The 19,203-nt window shown below is 51.2% G+C and overlaps 1 pseudogene, besides 2 other annotated features; it reads right to left on the bottom strand.

The window, feature by feature from the left end:
- CSP3 (CS pseudogene 3) lies at positions 313-3,227 on the bottom strand (annotated as a pseudogene).
- Positions 11,002-11,551: an enhancer, noted in NCBI's record as "H3K27ac-H3K4me1 hESC enhancer chr19:18132997-18133546 (GRCh37/hg19 assembly coordinates)". NCBI's record gives its function as "activates a minimal SCP1, AML or CMV promoter by ChIP-STARR-seq in naive H9 embryonic stem cells {active_cell/tissue: H9 hESC(naive)}" and the evidence as "EXISTENCE:reporter gene assay evidence [ECO:0000049][PMID:30033119]".
- Positions 12,026-12,075: an enhancer, noted in NCBI's record as "active region_14294". NCBI's record gives its function as "activates an Ori minimal core promoter by ATAC-STARR-seq in GM12878 lymphoblastoid cells {active_cell/tissue: GM12878}" and the evidence as "EXISTENCE:reporter gene assay evidence [ECO:0000049][PMID:35858748]".

Raw genomic sequence — 19,203 nt, 5'->3', positions numbered from 1 at the left:
AATTCTCCTGCCTCAGCTTCCCAGGTAGCTGGGATTACAGGCGTCCGCCACCGCGCCCAGCTCATTTTTGTATTTTTAGTAGAGACAGGGTTTCACCATGTTGGCCAAGCTGGTCTCAACCTCCTGACCTCAAGTGATCCACCCACCTCAGCCTCTCAAAGTGCTGGGATTACAGGTGTGAGCCACCATGCCTGGCCTCCAATCTCACTTTTATAACAAATCCATTCCCACAATGACGAACCCACTCCAGTGATCGAATCACCTCTTAAAGGTCCCACCTCTCAACACTATTGCTTTGAGGATTTTTTTTTTCATTGTTAATTAAAACATTTATTTTGCATTTTATACAGAACAACCTGAAGTCTGCATCATGACTTGACAGTTAGCCAGGGGTTTACAGTGTGTCCAACTCAACAGTGTGGTTCTGGGACTGGGTATCCACACAAACACAGGCAGGAGTTTGGAGGAAAGATGGGGGCACAGCAGGAGCGTATCTCAATCCTTTCTCAAAGAAAAAGAAGTAGAGCATTCTGAGTTGCTGAAAACCTGTGCAAATGGGGCTTCTGAAACAAACATTGTACTGTGAGCTCTCAGGGAAAGGGAGGAAAAAGATGTTGATAAATAAGGAGGCAATTTCTTGAGGCAGGGGACGAGGAAGGAGGCTTACTATTTTTAATGCCCTCAGCCCCAGTACCTGATAATCAGAGGAGACCATGTCCAATCTTGAATCAATTCTCTGTTCAAAAAGAGGTGCTAATACCCCAGGGACAAGACTCTGAAAATATCATGCTGGTCATTCCGGAGTCCCTGTTCTATGCCCCACAGCATATTAAAAGCTGGGGGTTGGTGGGGGGTGGGGAGGTCAGAAGGTAGTGGCTTGTATTCTGTTGGAAGTAAAAAACTTAGTTCACATTAAGCACTGATAAAACCCAATGACTGGGCCCACAGATCTGTTGAGAGGTCTCTAGTAGGGACTAAGAGGGGGAGGTCCAGAACATCCTCAGCCTGAGGTGAAACAGGTGTAGAAAGTCTGGGAGGGGGGTGAGTATTAAAGTAATGGGAAACAGAACACTCCCAGACCTTAATTTTAATTGGATAGTTTAAAAAAAAAATCAAACATTGGGTGCCAGTCACAACAAATGCCATGCCTTTATGGTCACTTGGCAGTATAAAAAAATTGCCAAAGCATGTCCAGCTAACCAACAGGTCTTGCTAGGAGGTGTTTGTGTGCATGGGAAGGCCAAGGGGCTTGGTACAGCTGACTATCCAACATGATTCCTATGGAAACAGAAGGGGCAGAGTCCTGGTTTGCTGGCTTATTGAGGGCTTGGCAGAGAAGAAGCTAAAGCTCCGAAGTGACTGCAGATTCTCTGCAACCGGCTTTGAGCCATGGAAACAGGAGCCAGATTCTCACTCTAGAGATAGTGAGGGGGCCAAACCTACTCATACCACATGCATTAGTCCTGGTCATCCTCCAGGACCATGCCTGTGATGGGCAACTCATACCAGGCAGGGGAAAGGAGCTGATTAGGGAAGAAGGGACCATTTTTCATCTTTTAAAGTCTTAATTTATATTTTAACCTCAAACATATTATCAGTGCCTCAGATATAATTTAATCTTAAGTCTTTAAAGGCCCCCTGAAACAAAAGTATACTTTTTATTTAGGCTTCCTCACTTTCTGGTAGTCACTTTCCCCCAGTCTCCAGTTTTACCCTGACTTAGAGTCCACAAACTTCATCAGACCCTCTGTGCTCATGGACTTGGGCCTTTCTAGAGGGAAGCCTAAGGCTCGGCTCCAGATGAGCTGTGCCAGTACACCCAATGCTCGTGACACCCCAAACAGGACTGTGTAGTAATTCATCTCCATCATGCCATAATACTGGAGCAGCACCCCACTGTGAGCATCTACATTGGGCCAAGGATTCTTGGCCTTACCCTGCTCTAAGAGGACATTGGGCACAATCTTGCATAGCTGAGCAACCAACTTAAACATGGGGTCATTAGGCAGGTGTTTCAGAGCAAACTCTCGCTGACAGGTATATCGTGGATCAGTCTTCCTTAGTACTGCATGGCCATAGCCTGGAACAGCCCGTCCTGAGTTGAGTGTGTTCCAGATGTAGTCTCATAACTTCTCATCTGACACATCTTTGCCAACTTCCTTCTGCAGCTGTGTTAGCCAGACAAGCACTTCCTGATTTGCCAGTCCATGGAGAGGCCCTGCCAGCCCGTTCATGGCTGCTGCAAAGGACAGGTAAGGGTCTGAAAGGCCACTGCCCACCAAGTGGCTGGTATGGGCACTTACATTGCCGCCCTCATGGTCACTGTGGATAGTGAGGTACAGGTGCATGAGCTCAGGGAACTGATGATCAGTATAGCCTAACATGTTGGTGAAACTGTGAGACCAGTCCAGGTTAGAGTCAATGGCCCCAATACCACTGCCTTCTCCATAGAGATTTCGGTAGATCTTTGCTGCGACACAAGGTAGCTTTGTGATTAGATCCACAGAGTCTTCATAAATCAACTCCCAGTACTTGGTTCGGCTGATACCCCGTGCATATGCTTGGGCAAAGTTACTTTCACTGTTGAGGGCTGTAACAGCTGCACTGAGCTGAGACATGGGGTGTAGATTGGTGGGAAAGTTGTCCAGCATGGTGACCACATGGGAAGGCAGAGCTGCCCTCTTTGCCCACTCTTTTGAGAGCCAAGATACCTGTTCCTCTGTTGGGATACATCCAGTTACCAGCAGCCAAAATAAGCCCTCAGGCAGGGGTTCTTCCCCACCCTTAGCCTTGGGTAGCAGTTTCTGGCATTCAGGGATACTAAAGCCTCAGAAACGGATGCCCTCATCAGGATCAAGAACTGATGTTTCATAGACCAATCCCTTCATGCCTCTCATGCCACCATACATCATGTCCACAGTGATTTGGCCCACCACCTTCTTGCCATGTTGCTGCCTGAAGGTCTTAATTCTGGCCTGCTCCTTAGGTATGAGGTCAGCCAATATGTCTTTCAAATTCATGGAGGAAGCACTGGCATGCTGGGCTGCAAGAACAAGACAAGATGCATTCTTGGTTCCCAAGAGCCGGGCGGCCGCAGTAAGTAAAGCCATGGCGGGCGATCTCCGGGATCTGGTGGGGAGGTAAGAAGGGGAGAGAGCTGCGGCAGGAACAGGAGCCGCCGCCACTGCACCAGAGGCCGCGCCGACAGGTTGACAAGGTTGAAAGGACTGCTTTGAGGATTAAGTTTCAAACATATGAACTTTGGGGGACCATTCAAACCATAGCATCAATGAATAATTTTTTTTTAGTATAAGTATATCCCAAATGTTGCATGGGATATACTTACAGTAAAACCAAATTCAATATTGATCTGAACTTCACATTTAGCTGAGTAGCCTATATTTTATCTGGCAACCTGGCTTCACCATCATGCCCATTTTACAGATGAGGTGGCAGAGGCCCAGAAAGGTTAAGTAATGTGCCTGAGGCAGCACAGCCAGGGACAAGCAGAAGGAGAATCTAACCAGGATCATGGGTCCCACAGCCTTCAGGGGACTCATTCCCCACCCTGGCTAGAGGTGGCCGCAGGAGAGAAGCCCAGCTTGCCAGGACCTCAGTACCCTGTAAACACCTGGAGAGGTGCCAATCCTACCCGCCATCTGGACTTGGGTATCTGGAAGTGGGGCTGACTCATCCCCTGTAAACAGCCAGTCTCCTGTCACTGTAAACAGCTGGCATCTAGAGACGCTGTCACAGTGCCCAACTCACAGTGTGACATCCATGACCCGATACTTTGCCATCAGCCTGTCACTCGATACTTAGTAAACAGTATCCTGAGAGTGGACAGTAGTTGGTGGTTACCGCGGTGCCGTGGGCCCCAAGGCAGGGTTGGACTTAAACCCAGGTTCTGACACCTGATTAGCCATCAGAGCTTGCTGTGTTCTGATACTTTGTGAAAAAAGACTAATCCTGATACTTGCTATCTGTCAATGATGAAACCCTGTTAGCCATAAACCTGTCCTCATATTTTATCAGCTGGTAACTTTAAACAAAGTTCTGATACTCTGTAAACACAAATCATGACACTTATGACCCATCAGGGGTTGGTAAACTTCAGCTTTAACCATGACCCCAAAACAGTATTCAATTTTTTTTCCGTTTTTTTTTTTTTTTTTTTTTTTGAGACAGAGTCTCACTCTGTCGCCCAGGCTGGAATGCAGCAGCGTAATCTCGGCTCACTGCAACCTCTGCCTCCCAGGTTCAAGCTAATCTCCCACCTCAGCCTCCCGAGTAGCTGGGACCACACCCAGATAATTACTGTATTTTTAGTAGAGACAGGGTTTCACCATGTTGGCCAGGCTGGTCTAGAACTCCTGGTCTCAAGTGATCCGCCTGCCCCAGCCTCCCAAAGTGCTGCTGGGATTATAGGTGTGAGCCACCGCTCCTGGCTCCTTTTTTTTTTTTTTTTTTTGAGATGGGTTTCACTCTTATCCCCCAGGCTGGAATGCAGTGCCTTCATCTCGGTTCACTGCAACCTCCACCTCCTGGGTTCAAGCGATTCTCCTGCCTCACCCTCCCGAGTAGCTGGGATTATAGGCGCCTGCCACCACGCCCAGCTAGTTTGGGTTTTTTTTTTTTTTTACTTTCTTTCTTGTATTTTCAGTGGAGACAGGGTTTCACCATGTTGGCCAGGATGGTCTCCATGACCGGCCCTGGCTCCCTCCTTTTTTTTAGAGACAAGATCTCTCTCAGTCACCCAAGCTAGAATGCAGTGGCGGGATCATAGCTCACTGCAGCTTCGAACTCCCAGGCTTAAGTGATCCTCCCACCTCAGCCTACTGAATAGCTGAGACTACAGGCATCCCAGCTAATTTTTAAAACTTTTTGTAAGGATGGAGGAGGGGGTCTCCCTATGTTGCCCAGGCTGGTCTTGAACTCCTGGCCTCAAACGGTCCTCTCACTTCAGCTTCCCCAAGCACTGGGATTACAGGCAAGAACCACCATACCTGGCCTACATTTTAAAATGACTGAAAAACTACCAGAGGAAGACTATTTGATGACATGTGAAAATTACATGAAATTCACACTTGAGTGTCCATGAACAAAGTTTTCCTGGGATACAGCCATGCTCACTTATTTGTGTATATGAATGCTTTCAAACAGCCGCAGCGTAGAGTAATTGCAAAAGAGACTGTGTAGCCGGCAAAGCTTCAAATATTTCCTATCTGGCCCTTTATAGAAAATGTTTGCCTATTCCTGATCTAAGCTCTTGGGCAGTCACTGTTCTTTATATTGAATTTAATACTCTGTTAATAGTCAATGGTCCACAGTGGTCACATGCAATGCAAACTGTGAGTCTTTTTACTCTGTAAAAGTCATATCCTAGACCGGGCATGGTGGCTCACGCCTGTAATCCCAGCACTTTGGGAGGCCAAGGTCGGGACTTTGAGACCAGCCTGATCAACATGGAGAAACCCCATCTCTATTAAAAATAAATACAAAATTAGATGGGTGTGGTGGCACATGCCTGTAATCCCAGCTACTAGGGAGGCTGAGACAGGAGAATCACTTGAACCCAGGAGGCGGAGGTTGCAGTGAGCTGAGATCGTGCCATTGCACTCCAGCCTGGGCAACAAGAGCGAAACTCCGTCTCAAAAAACAAAACAACAAACAAAAAAAGTCATATCCTAATGGGCGTGGCGGCTCATGCCTGTAATCCAACACGTTGGGAGGCAGAGTGGGGAGGAATCGTTTGAGTCCAGGAGTTCGAGACCAGGCTGGTCAACATGGTGAGACCTGTCTCTACAAAAAATTAAAAAAAAAAAAACTTAGCCAGGTGTGGTGCTGTGTGCCTGTAGTCCCAGCTACTCAGGAGACTGAGGTAGGAGGATCGCATGAGCCCAGAGGTCGAGGCTGCGTGAGCCATGACTGTACCACTGCACTCCAACTTGGGCGACAGAGTGAGACCTCATCTCTATAAAAAATAAATAAATTAGCTGAGTGTGGTAGTGTGCGTAGTCCCAGCTACTCGGGAGGCTAAGGTGGGAGGATCGCTTGAGCCCGGAGGTTGAGGCTGCAGTGAACCATGATTGCACCACTGTACTCCAGCCTGGGTGAAAGAGCCAGACACAGTCTCTTAACAACAACAATAAAAGTCGTATTCAGCCTGATGTTCTGACAAGATTAATGCAATGAACATTTGGTTTCTGACAGCAGTTAGTGTGTCCTGGGACTGTGTCAATGGTCAATACTGGGAAACATAACCAAGATGAGACCCAAAGAGTGACTGAGAATTAGACAAAGGAAAAATGATCTTGCCACACTCAGGCTGGACTGTGACTGCTGAGCTGAGGAGCTGGACTTTCTCCTGAGGGTAATAGGGAGCCACGGAGGGTGTGTGAGCAGAGGAGGGACATGCTCAACCTGGACACAGGGACGGGATTGCTTCTGACCTTGGATATCCCTTCCATGCAATGGGCTGAGGTGGCCAAAATAAAGACCTTTCCAGGCCTGGGGTCTGAAAGGAAAGGGCACTTGAAGTTGCGATGTTAGGACTTCGTGGGAGAAGCCAGTGTGCAAATAACTGAGCAGGGACTTCTGTTCCTCCCCTGCCAAGCAGGCTCCAGGGGCTGCTCACACAGTGTGATCTGGGGCCAGGAGGCTAGGGATGAGGCCAGAAGACTCCTCTTTAGGAGTCCAGGACCAGTGGGTCAAGGTCTTACTCTGAGCTTCATTAATCCATCATACACTAATTGAGCAGCTACTGAGGGAGGGCCCTTGTCTTCCACCTCCCCATTCCTGGCTCTCTGCATCTTGTGCAGGCACTCTCATTTAGCATACTGCATTTATTTTTATATTATTTATTTATTTTAGAGATAGGGTCCCATTCTGCTGGAGTGCAGTGGTGCAATCACGGCTCACTGCAGCCTCAACCTCCTGGGCTCAAACAATCCTCCCACCTCAGTCTCCCCAGTAGCTAGGACTACAGGTGTGTGCCACCATGCCTGGCTAATTTTTTTTATTTTTATTTTTAGTAGAGATGGGGCTTCACCATGTTGCTCAGGCTGGTCTCAAAGTCCTGGCCTCAAGGGATCCTCCCATCTCAGCCTCCCAAAGTGCTTTATACAGGCATGAGCCACCACACCCAGCCAGTAAATTTATTGAGCACCTACTGCATGCTATGACCCGCCCTCTTGGAGCTCCCAGTACCGAGGGGAGGTGGAAGACAGGCCGTGAACCTGTCAATACATTGTAATCACAAACTGTGAGAAAGGCAAAGCAAGGAATTGGAAGGAACTGAGAGGGAGAATAGGGCAGCTTTTGTGAAAGAGGTGAAAGGAGCCAAGCACAGTGGTTCACACCTGTAATCCTAGCACTTTGGGAGGCTGAGGTGGGTGGATCACTGGAGGTCAGGAGTTCAAGACCAGCCTGGCCAACATGTTGAAACCCCGTCTCTACTAAAAACACAAAAATTAGGCTGGGCGCGGTGGCTCACGCCTGTAATCCCAGCACTTTGGGAGACCGAGGCGGGCAGATCACGAGGTCAGGAGATTGAGACCATCCTGGCTAACACGGTGAAACCCTGTCTCTACAAAAAAATACAAAAAATTAGCCGGGTGTGGTGGCGGGTGCCTGTAGTCCCAGCTACTCGGGAGGCTGAGGCCGGACAATGGCGTGAACCCGGGAGGCGGAGCTTGCAGTGAGCCGAGATTGTGCCACTGCACTCCAGCCTGGGCGACAGAGCAGCACTCCAGCCTGGGCGACAGAGCAACACTCCGTCTCGGGAAAAAAAAAAAAAACACCACCACAAAAATTAGCTGGCTGTGGTGGCACATGCCTGTAGTCCCAGCTACTTGGGGAGGCTGAGGCAGGAGAATTGCTTGAACCTGGGAGGCAGACGCTGCAGTGAGCCAAGATCACGCCACTGCACTCCAGCCTGCAAGACTCTTGTCAAAAAATTAAAACAAAAAAACAAGAAACAAGAAGAGGTGGAAAGGTCTCTAAGGAGTGGATGCTTAAACTGACATCTTCAGGAAGAGAACGTGCAGGCTTTGTAATGAGCGAGAGGAAGAGCTATCTGGGCAGAAAGAACAACACGTAGAAAGGCCCTGAGGTGCCGGGCGTGGTGGCTCACACCTGTAATCCCAGCACTTTGGGAGGCCGAGGCGGGCAGATCACCTGAGGTCAGGAGTTCGAGACCAGCCTGACCAACATGGAGAACAACCATCTCTACTAAAAATACAAAATTAGCCGGGAGTGGTGGCGCATGCCTGTAATCCTAGCTACTTGGGAGGCTGAGGCAGGAGAATCGCTTGAACCCTGGAGGCAGAGGTTGTGGTGAGCCAAGATTGTGCCATTGCACTCCAGCCTGGGCAACAAGAGCAAAACTCTGTCTCAAAAAAAAGAAAAAAAAAATAAAAGGCCCTGAGGTGACAATGAACCTGTTGTAGACCAGGCATGGTGGCTCACTCCTATAATCCCAGTACTTTGGGAAGCCGAGGCAGGAGGATCTCATTTTGAGATCAGCCCTGGAAACATAGGGAAACCTATGTTTCTCTACAAAAATAAAAATAATAAAAAAAATAAAATTACAGGCATGGTGGCTCACGCCTGTAATCCCAGCACTTTGGGAAACTGAGGCAGGATGATCACTCCAAGAGTTTGAGACCAGCCTGGCCAACATGGTGAAACCCCGTCTCTACCAAAAATATAAAAAATTGGCCAGATGTGGTGGTGCATGCCTGTAATCCCAGCTACTCTGGAGGCTGAGGCAGGAGAATCACTTGAACCTGGGAGGCAGAGGTTGCAGGGAGCCGAGATCTTGCCACTGCACTCCAGCCTGGGTGACAGAGTGAGACTCCATCTCAAAAAAAAAAAAAAAAGTTAGCCGGGCATGGTGGCTTGTGTCTGTGGTCCCAGATGGTTGGGAGGCTGAAGGAGGAGGACCACTTGAGCTTGGGAGGTCGAGGCTGCAGTGAGATATGATTGTACCACTGCACTCCAGTCTGGGCAATAGAGTGAGACTGTCTCAAAAAAAAAAAAGTGGCCACTGCTCATGTCTGTAATCTCAGTGCTTTTGGAGCCTGAGACAGGCCGATCGCTTGAGTTCAGGAGTTGGAGACCAGCCTGGGCAACGTAGTAAGATTCCATGTCTACAAAAAATACAAAAATTAGCTGGGTGTGGTGGTGTGTGTCTGTTGTCCCAGCTACTCAGGAGGATGAGGTGGAAGGATAGCTTGAGCCTAGGAGGTCGAGACCACAGTGGGCTAACAGGGCACCACTGCACTCCAGCCTGGACAACACAGCAATACCCTGTCTCAAAATAAATAAATAAATAAAGCCAACATCAGCAGCTGAATCAGGGCTGACCTGGGGTTTCGGAGGCCTTAGGGCCACGATACAGGCTCTGCCGGCCCAAGTCAGTCCCAGCACACACCAGTCACCTCTGCTGACGGACACACAGACTTAACACTTAGACCCAGACTCAAAAGTGCCCCAACCAACCCACTGTCTGCTTCCCACACTGGCTGAGATCCATAGCTCCACATGCGAGCACAGGTAACGGTTGTGTGTGTACATGCCTCTGGGCAATGCCACGTGCGGCCCGACACACACACACACACACACACATATGCACACGCAGGCGGATCCACCTATATTCCAGGCCGCCTGCAAACACGCAAACACACACATGCCTGCCCACACTGCCCCAGCACGCGCACGTCACGCGGAGACTCAGGAAGCACAGCTGGGGGCTCCCATGAGAGCCGGTTTCCTGTTTTCAAAGAGGCTGGGAACTGCTAACGGCATGTTCCAGACGAGCCTACCCCTCACCCACTGCCTCAGCACCCCCATGCTGCCCCACAGACGCTGCACCCACTCTGTGCCCAGTCCTGACACTGACGTACAGTGAAGTCAAGCTCCAGATGAGGAAACTGAGGCTCAGAGGGGTGCTGTCGTTTGCCCACGGTCACACAGGGAGGAAGAGGTGGTCCCAGAGCCCAGACCCGAAGCTCCATGCTGCCTCCCTCCTAAGCACCATGGCCAGGGTCTGGGGGTGGGGGTTCACAGATGGGGACACGCCCTCTCCTGCCTGGACTGTGGCCTGGGCCTGGTCCCTCCTGGGTCACAGGCTTCAGGGGCCACCCCTATAAAGCCCCAGGCTCTTCTGCCTTATGTACCCAATCTTTTCTATTCACCACCCCCTGCCCATCCTGCCTGTTTTGTGTCCCCAAAAGAAAGCGCTGGCTCTCAGCCCCGGTTCAAGGCTTCACGTGGCCTGGTTCACCTGTATCACAAACATTAATGGACAACTGCTGGCCACCAACAAAGCAAACCCGGTCCTGCCCTTAGGGGGCTTGTAGGTGGGAGAATTGAGCACAGAGACAAATAAACACATTTAAACCGGGCACGGTGGCTCACGTCTGTAATCCCAGCACTTTGGGAGGCTGAGGCGGGCAGCTCACTTGAGGTCAGGAGTTCAAGACCAGCGTGGCCAACATGGTGAAACCCCGTCTCTATTAAAATACAAAAATTAGCCGGGCGTGGTGGCAGGCACCTTTAATCCCAGCTACTCAGGAGGCTGAGGCAGAAGAATCACTTGAACCTGGGAGGCGGAGGATGCAGTGAGCCAAGATCGTGCCACTGCACTCTAGCCTGGGCAATAGAGTGAGACTCCATCTAAAAAAATAAATAAATAGTCACGCGCAGTGGCTCACGCCTGTAATCCCAGCACTTTGGGAGGCCAAGGCGGGTGGATCACCTGAGGTCAGGAGTTCAAGATCAGCTTGGCCAACATGGTGAAACCCCGTCTCTACTAAAAATACAAAAAATTAGGTGGGCGTGGTGGCGTGCGCCTGTAATCCCAGCTACTCAGGAGACTGAGACAGGAGAATCGCTTGAACCCGGGAGGCGGAGGTTGCAGTGAGCCAAGATTGCGCCACTGCACTCCAGCCTGGGCAACAAGAGCAAAACTCCGTCTCAATAAACAAATAAACACATTTGCAGATGCCTCTCTATGCTCCAGCCCCATGGGGCCACTGGGGTGGCTGAGGACACGCCTAGCTCCCACCTGCCTGCTGTGGTTGCACAGGCTGTTCCCTCTGCTTGAAATGCCTTTCCCTAGTTCCTCTTCATCCATCAAAGCCCCAGCTCCAATGTCCTCTCTTTCTGCAAGGCCTCTCAGGACCCTCCAGCCTTCAGCCTTCCCTCTGGTTCCACCCTGACTCCACAGGGATCTGAGGTTGTGTGAGTCCTGCTCTGATCTTCACCAGTGTCCTTGGGACTCTGATCCACTGCCATCATCATGCGTCCAAGATGGTTTTCCTTACTTCTAGGCCTTCTTCCAGGGAGTCTCCAAACTCGTAGCATGATTGGCTCAGGCAGGATCACGTGCCCAGCCCTGACCCAATCCCTGTGCCTGTGATAACAAAAGGCTCCAATTGGCCAAGTGTGGTCACATGACCACACAGGAAACCAGGAAGTGGATCTGGGTCTCAGAAAGTGGGGCAGGGAGCCGGGCACTGTGGCTCACGCCTGTAATCCCAGCACTTTGGCAGGCCGAGGTGGGCAGATCACCTGAGGTCAGGAGTTTGAGACCAGCCTGGCCAACATGGTGAAACCCCATCTCTACTAAAAATACAAAAATTACCTGGGCATAGGGACAGGCGCCGGTAATCCCAGCTACTTGGGAGGCTGAGGCAGGAGGCGGAGATTGCAGTCAGCTGAGATCATGCCACTGCATTCCAGCCTGACGGACAGAGTGAGACCCTGTCTCCAAAAAAAAAAAAAAAAAAAAGGGCAGGGCAGGTAGACATTCCTCCAGACCCCTGTGTTAAGGACTTAGGGATCCCCTTGCCTGTACCATCTTGGCTGGTGGGCCTTGGCGAAGTCACTTGTTCCCTGTGTCTCAGTTTCCCCACTTGTCAATCAGGCCCAGCAGGGTTGAAGTGTTGGAGCACAGGGGGATCCATCCCCTCTCTGATCATTCTTGGGCTGAGTCCTTTTTACCCCGCACCCACGCCCTCATCTTTTATTGTTGTTTTCTGTGGATCCTCCCAGATCGGGCCGCGCAGTCCACCCAGCCCAGCGTGGCAGGCACTGATGGCCACCGGCTGAGTCACCATTTCCTCCTGGCCCCTTGCCCGGGCCCAGTGCTTTCTGGGGACTTTCCTGAACATCAAAAACAAGGTGGGGGGTGGGGGGGTGACTCCCGGGTGAGGGAAGCTAGGGCAGACACGCGTGTGTTTGGATAGGTTTGTGCATACCCTGGCGTGGGTTCAAAGCCCATGTCTGGGCCCCACCTGTAGGATCCAGGCCATAACCGCATCCTCCTAGGAGTTGGGGTACTCCACATGTGAGCACCTGGTGAACACTCTGTGCCCGGCTGCTTGTGCCCGAGTTCACTGGCTGGTGTTTCTATGTTGCTGACAGGCTTATGTGTGTGCGTGTGTGTTTGCACGTGTGTGTGTACATCATGACTGCCCTGTGCCTGGAGCCCAGCGACAGAGAGGCCCAGCCCCTCGCTCAAAAGGTGCATCTGAACTCCAGCCGCCCCTGCCCCTCAATGCACCCAGCTCCTCGCTCAGAAAGGTGGATCTGGTGGAGATAACTCCCTGGGCCAAGGCAGGGGGGCTTGGGAAATCCTGCTGCATTAGGGTGCAGGGGTGGCGGAGGCAGGGTGAGGCAGAGGTGGGGTGGTCAGAACTGTGGATCCACATGGATGAGCCTGGGCGGGCTGAGCTTTGGGAGGAATAGATGTCAATTGTAAAAACCTTCACTAAGCCACCTACTGTGTGTTCAGGGTGCTGGGACACAGTGGGGACCTGGTGTAATAGACACCACATCAACAAACAAGTGAATATGTAACCCCAGGGACATGGGGAGGACCAGGAAATTAAATGCACTGGGGCAGCAGGAGGGGAATTTGGGGTGCCCGGGCCTAGGGACAGAGGGGACTTGCTGAGAAGGTGATGTGAGGTCTCAGATGTGCAGGCGGAGGAGGTCTTGGGGAGATCTAGGGAGACAGAGTGCCAGGTGGAAGGTATGGCTGGTGCAAAGGCCCTGAGGTGGGCACGAACTGGCAGAGGGGCTTTGGCTTCATTCAGGAAGGTCTAACCCCACAGCAGGATGGGGAGCCATCAGGAGGTTGTGCTGGTGGGGCCACCAGGACAAGCTGTCCTGTAACTGGAGCTCAGCAGGAATGCGTCCCCCTCCCACCCCCACCCCCACCCCATCTCTGGCGCTCTTTGCTTGGGACAGAATGTGCTGGGAGGAGAGGCTGGCGGTGGCCGCGCCTGGTGGCTGGAGCGGGGAGGCTGGAGGATTCCTGAACAGTGGCCCGGCTGGGCTGGGCTCCCTGCCAGCGTGGGTGGGAAAACAAGCAGCGGGCGCCCTGACTGCTTGTCACCCCTTGTCCCCCAGCTGGCCGGGCCAGGGCAGGAGGCAGAGATGGTGAGAGAGTCAGGGACCCAAAGAGACAGAGAGATGGTAGCCAAGAGAGATAGTGAGAGAATCAGAGGCAGAGGGAGACAGAGACAGGGAGAAAGAGACAGAAGTACAGAGGCAATAAGACTGAGAGACAGAGACAGAGACAGTAAGCAAGACAGATATTGAGAGAGAGACAGAGATGGGAAAGAAAAGATGGTGAGAGTCAGAATGAAACAGACAGAGACACTGAGAGATAGAGACCTAGCATTTGACTCTGCATGGGGGACACGTCTGACTCTAGGAGGTCTTGGGAGCAAGTGCAAGGGATGACACCTCCACCCCCATCAGAATCTTCATCTGAGCTGGGCATGGTGGCTCACGCCTGTAATCCCAGCACTTTGGGAGGCCAAGATGGGCAGATCACCTGAGGTCAGAAGTTCAAGACCAGCCTGGGCAACATGGTGAAACCCTGTCTCTACTAAAAATACAAAAATTAGCTGGGCGTGGTGATGGGTGCCTGTAATCCCAGCTAGTCAGGAGGCCAAGGCATGAGAATTGCTTGAACTCGGGTGGCAGAGTTTGCAGTGAGCCGAGATCGAGGCTTTCCACTCCAGCTTGGACAATGCTGTCTCAAAAAAAAAAAGAAAAGAAAAAAAAAAGAAAAAGGCCGGGCGTGGTGGCTCATGCCTGTAATCTCAGCACTTTGGGAGGCCGAGGTGGGCAGATCACGAGGTCAGGAGATCGAGACCATCCTGGCGAACACTGTGAAACCCCGTCTCTACTAAAAATACAAAAAAAAAATTAGCCAGGCGTAGTGGTGGGCGCCCGTAGTCCCAGCTACTTGGGAGGCTGAGGCAGGAGAATGGCATGAACCCGGGGGGCGGAGCTTGCAGTGAGCAGAGATCAACCCACTGCACTCCAGCCTGGGCAACAGAGTGAGACTCTGTCTCAAAAAAAAAAAAAAAAAGAGGAGTCTTCATCCACATCAAAGTAGGCAGAGCAGTGGTCCCCCAGTCACTTAGTCAACCACCCTCATGCCTGCTGCATGCTGGGGCGGGGGTCAGAGCCTGGATCTGGCCCTGCCCACAGAGGGTCAGACAAACAAATGAACATCTAAGTAGTAATTTCAGAGCGTGATGAGGGCTAGGAAGACTACAGAACAGAGAGATAGGAGAGGGAGTGATGGAGGGGGTGGCAACTTTGGCCAGGAGGTTGGAGTGGCTCTGAAAAAGTGAGGCCAGGGGGTAAAGAGAAACCACCAATGGGGGAAGAGCCTTTTCGCAGGGGGAATAGTATATGAGAAGTCCCCAAGGTAAAAATCAGCTTGGAGGGCCGGGCGCGGTGGCTCAAACCTGTAATCCCAGCACTTTGGGAGGCCGAGGCAGGTGGATCATTTGAGGTCAGGTGTTCAAGACCAGCCTGGCCAGTATGGTGAAACCCTGTCTTTATTAAAAATACAAAAATTAGCTGAGCATGGTGGTGGGCACCTGTAGTCGCAGCTACTTGGGAGGCTGAGGCAGAATCACTTGAACCTGGGAGGCGGAGATTGCAGTGAGCCGAGATCGAGCCACTGCACTCCAGCCTGGGCAACAGAGTGAGGCTCTGTCTAAAAGATAAAAATAATAAAAATAAAAATCAGCTTGGAGTGTTTGAGTAGCAGACGGGGAGGGAGGGGGAGCTGGAGGGAGAGGTGGGCAGGGGGTCTTACGGGCCTGGAGAGGGTTGGGGTTTTTGTTATTTCGTTATTTTTTATTTATTTATTTATTTTTGAGACAGAGTGTCACTCTGTCGCCCAGGCTGGAGTGCGGTGGCTCAATCTCCACTTACTCACTGCAAGCTCCGCCTCCCGGGCTCACACCGTTCTCTTGCCTCAGCCTCCGGAGTAGCTGGGACTACAGGTGCCCGCCACCACGCCCGGAGAACTTTTTGTATTTTTAGTGGAGATGGGGTTTCACTGTGTTAGCCAGGATGGTCTTGATCTCCTGACCTCGTGATCCACCCGCCTTGGCCTCCCAAAGTGCTGGGATTACTGTGCCCGGCCTGCTGTTGTTGTTGTTATTATTATTATTATTATTGGAGAAAAATTCTTGCCACGTCACCCAGGCTGGAGTACAGTGGTTTGATCATCGCTCACTGCAGGCTAGACCTCCTGGGCCAAGTGATTCTCCCACCTCAGCCTCCTGAGTAGCTGGGACCATAGGCACATGCCACCAGGCCCAGCTAATGTTTACATTTTTTTTTTTGTAGAGATGGGGTCTCGCTCTGTTGCCCAGGCTGGTCTCAAACTCCTGGCCTTACGTGATCCTCCCACCTCAGCCTCTCAAAGTGCTGGATCACAGGCGTGAGCCACCGCGCCCGGCCTCATTTCATGTTTGATAGAAGTTGACCACCTGCCTTTGGGCTCCCTAGGCCCCTCCCCATGTTCAGGAAGTTTCCTGAATTGGGACTATCTGGGCCAGCTTAATCCTGGTTGTTGATCATCTGAACCGGAAAGTTCTCCTTCTGTCAGGATCAAGTTCCCCATAGTTGCAGACTCAGGAGTCCTGAGGACACGGGGCGTCTTGTCCTCCCACCCCCGCTGGGTGGAATCTTTTTGTCGCACTGTACCCACATCCCTTGCTGGAATAAATACCTTAGACTCTCCTCTGTTTGGGAACATGGATCTGGAAACTGATATGTCTTGCACACCCCGCATGACAAATAACTCATTTCCTACTGAGACTGTCAGTTCGGCTTCTAGTGACTGTGCTGTGGGAATGCTTCCTCTCTGCTGGCCCCAGGGACCTCCCATGTATGGCATGCTCCAAGCTTGATGCCAGGTCAAAGGAGGTCTTGGTAGACCTTAGAACCAGGGGTAGCAGGAAAGGAGGGCTCACCCTCAGGCCAGAGGAAGGACGTGATTGAGGACTGTGGTAGGGTGTGGGGATGGGCTGTCTCCCAGAGTCTCAGATGACAAAACAGGCTCAGACGCAAGGTGACCTGCCTGCAGTCACACAGAGAGCCAAGCCCTACCTAACCCAGATCTCCTCATGTCCAGCCCCTGGGTCCCCCAGTCCTCATCCCTGGCTCCTAGCCCTGACAATGGCCATTCCAGCCTCCAGCCTGCCAGTTAATTTCTGCTGCCTTGGGCAGGCTGGCTGGGACAGCCTGGGCTATCAGACTAGGGTTTCTTTTTGTTTTTGTTTTTGTTTTTTTGAGACAGTCTTGCTCTGTCACCCAGGCTGGAGTGCAGTGGCACGATCTCGGCTCACTGCAATCTCCACCTCCTGGGTTCACACCATTCTCCTGCCTCAGCCTCCCGAGTAGCTGGGACTACAGGCACACGCCACCACGCCCGGCTAATTTTTTTCTATTTGTAGTAGAGACGGGGTTTTACCGTATTAGCCAGGATGGTCTTGGTCTCCTGACCTCGTGATCCACCCACCTCAGCCTCCCAAAGTGCTGGAATTACAGGCTTGAGCCACCGCGCCCGGCCCAGACTAGGGTTTCAATAGGGCCTTGCCCAACCTTGGAGGGGCACGAGGGCTTAGGTGAGACAGGCAGAGCTTCAGCAGGAGCTTGAGGGGCACAGTATCATGTGGCCTGAGGGCGGCATGGACTCTGGAGTCTAAGAGGCAGTGTTTATATATTTTTTTGAGACAGGATCTCACTCTGTCGCCAAGGCTAGAGTGCAGTGGTGCGATCATAGCTCGCTGCAGCCGCGATTTCCCAGGCTCAGGTGATCCTCCTAACCTCATCCCCCTGAGTAGCTAGAACTAGAGGTCCACACTGCCACACCTGGTTAATTTTTTATATATTTTTTTTTTTGTAGAGTCGGGATCTTGCTATGTTGCCCAGGCTGGTCTCAAACTCCTAGGCTCAAGCGATTCTCCTGCTTTGGCCTCCCAAAGTGCTGGGATTTACAGGTGTGAGCCACTGTGCCTGGCCCAAGGGGCAGTTTTGAGTGCTGGCCGTCTCAGTCCTGACTGTGGGACCCAAGTGGAGCATCTCCCTCCCTCCCTTCCTTCCTCTTCCCTTTGTTTCTCTTTCTCTCTCTCTCCCTCCCTCCCTCCCTCCCTTCCTTCCTCTTCCCTTTGTTTCTCTTTCTCTCTCTCTCTCCCTCCCTCCCTCCCCCCTTTCTTTTCTTTTCTCTTTTTTTTTCTCTTCTTTTCTCCTCCCTCCCTCCCTTCTTTCTTATTTCCTTTTTTTTCTTTTCTTTTTTTTTTTTTTTTGAGAAAGGGTCTCACTACTCTGTCACCCAGGCTGGAGTGCAGTGGCATGATCTCAGCTCACTGCAGCCTCTACCTCCCGGGTCCAAGTGATTCTTCTGCCTCAGCCTCCGAAGTAGCCGAGATTACAGGTGCCTGCACCACGTCTCACTGATTTTTGTATTCTTTTTAGAAGAGACAGGATTTCACCATGTTGGCCAGGCTAGTCTCTTTCTCTTGAGCTCACTATCCCCACCTGTAACTCCAGAAGAATAACAGCCCCACGCCACTAGGGCCACCTAACAGCTCCGTGGGTTTTCAAAGTAATCCTTGAACACACGTGTTCTTAGCAGCAAGATTCACTATAGCCAAGCCGTGGAAACAACCCAGATGTCCATCCGCGGATGAATGGCTAAACACAATGTGGTCTACGCACACAATGGAATATTATTCAACCAGAAAAAGGAATGAAGTTCTGACACATAGTACAATGTGGATGAACCCGGAAAACATGCTGAGTGATAAAAGCCAGACACAAAAGGCCGCATGATTCCATTGATATGAAATGTTCACAATAGGCAAATCCAGAGACAGAAAGTGGTTGCTGGAGGTGGGGGAAGGGGAATGGGGATTGATCACTAGTGGGGACAGGGTTTCCTTTGGCAGGGATAGAAATGTTCTGGAAATAGATGGTGGTGATGGTTGCATAACATCGTAAATAGCCAGGTCGGTTGTGATGGTTCACATCTGTAATCCGAGTACTTTGGGAGGCTGAGGCGGGAGGACTGCTGGAGCCCAGGAATTTAAGACCCACCTGAGAAACAAAGGGAGATCGTGTCTCTACAAAAAAATAATTAGCTGGGTGTGGTGGTACACACTTGTGGTCCCAACCACTCGAGGAGCTGAGGCAAGTGGATCTCTTGAGCCCAGGATCTCTTGAGGCTGCTGTGATCGGGCCATTGCACTCCAGCCTGGGCAACAGAGTGAGAACATCTCAAAACCAAACAAAAGAAACATTATGAGTATTAAATGCTACATTGTAAAGTGTACTAAATTGAATACTTTCAAGTGGTGAATTTTACAATATGTGAATTTCACCTCAATAAAAACAAATCCAGGGCTAGGCATGGTGGCTCACACCTGTAATCCCAGCACTTTGGGAGGCGGAGGCAGGCAGATCACCTGAGGTCAGGAGTTTGAGACCAGCCTGGCCAACATGGTAAAACCCTGTCTCTACTAAAAAAATAGAAAAATTAGCCAGGCGTGGTGGCACATGCCTGTAATTCCAGCTACTTTCGAGGCTGAAACAGGAGAATCATTTGAACCCGGGAGGCGGAGGTTGCAGTGAGCCAAGACCAAGCCATTGCACTCCAGCCTGGGTGACACAGCGAAACTCTGTCTTAAAAAAAAAAGAAAGAAAGAAAAAAAAAATAAACCCCGTCTCTACTAAAAATTCAAAAATTAGCCGGGTGTGGTGGCAGGCACCTGTAATCCCAGCTACTTGGAGGCTGAGGCAGGAGAATCGCTTGAACCCAGGAGGTGGAGGTTGTAGTGAGCTGAGATCACACCACTACACTCTACACTATGC

This window comes from Homo sapiens, chromosome 19, assembly GCF_000001405.40.
Source record: "Homo sapiens chromosome 19, GRCh38.p14 Primary Assembly".
Lineage (NCBI taxonomy): Eukaryota > Metazoa > Chordata > Mammalia > Primates > Hominidae > Homo > Homo sapiens.
Note: the sequence above shows the minus strand (reverse complement) of the source record. Positions and strands in the feature narration are given on the sequence as shown.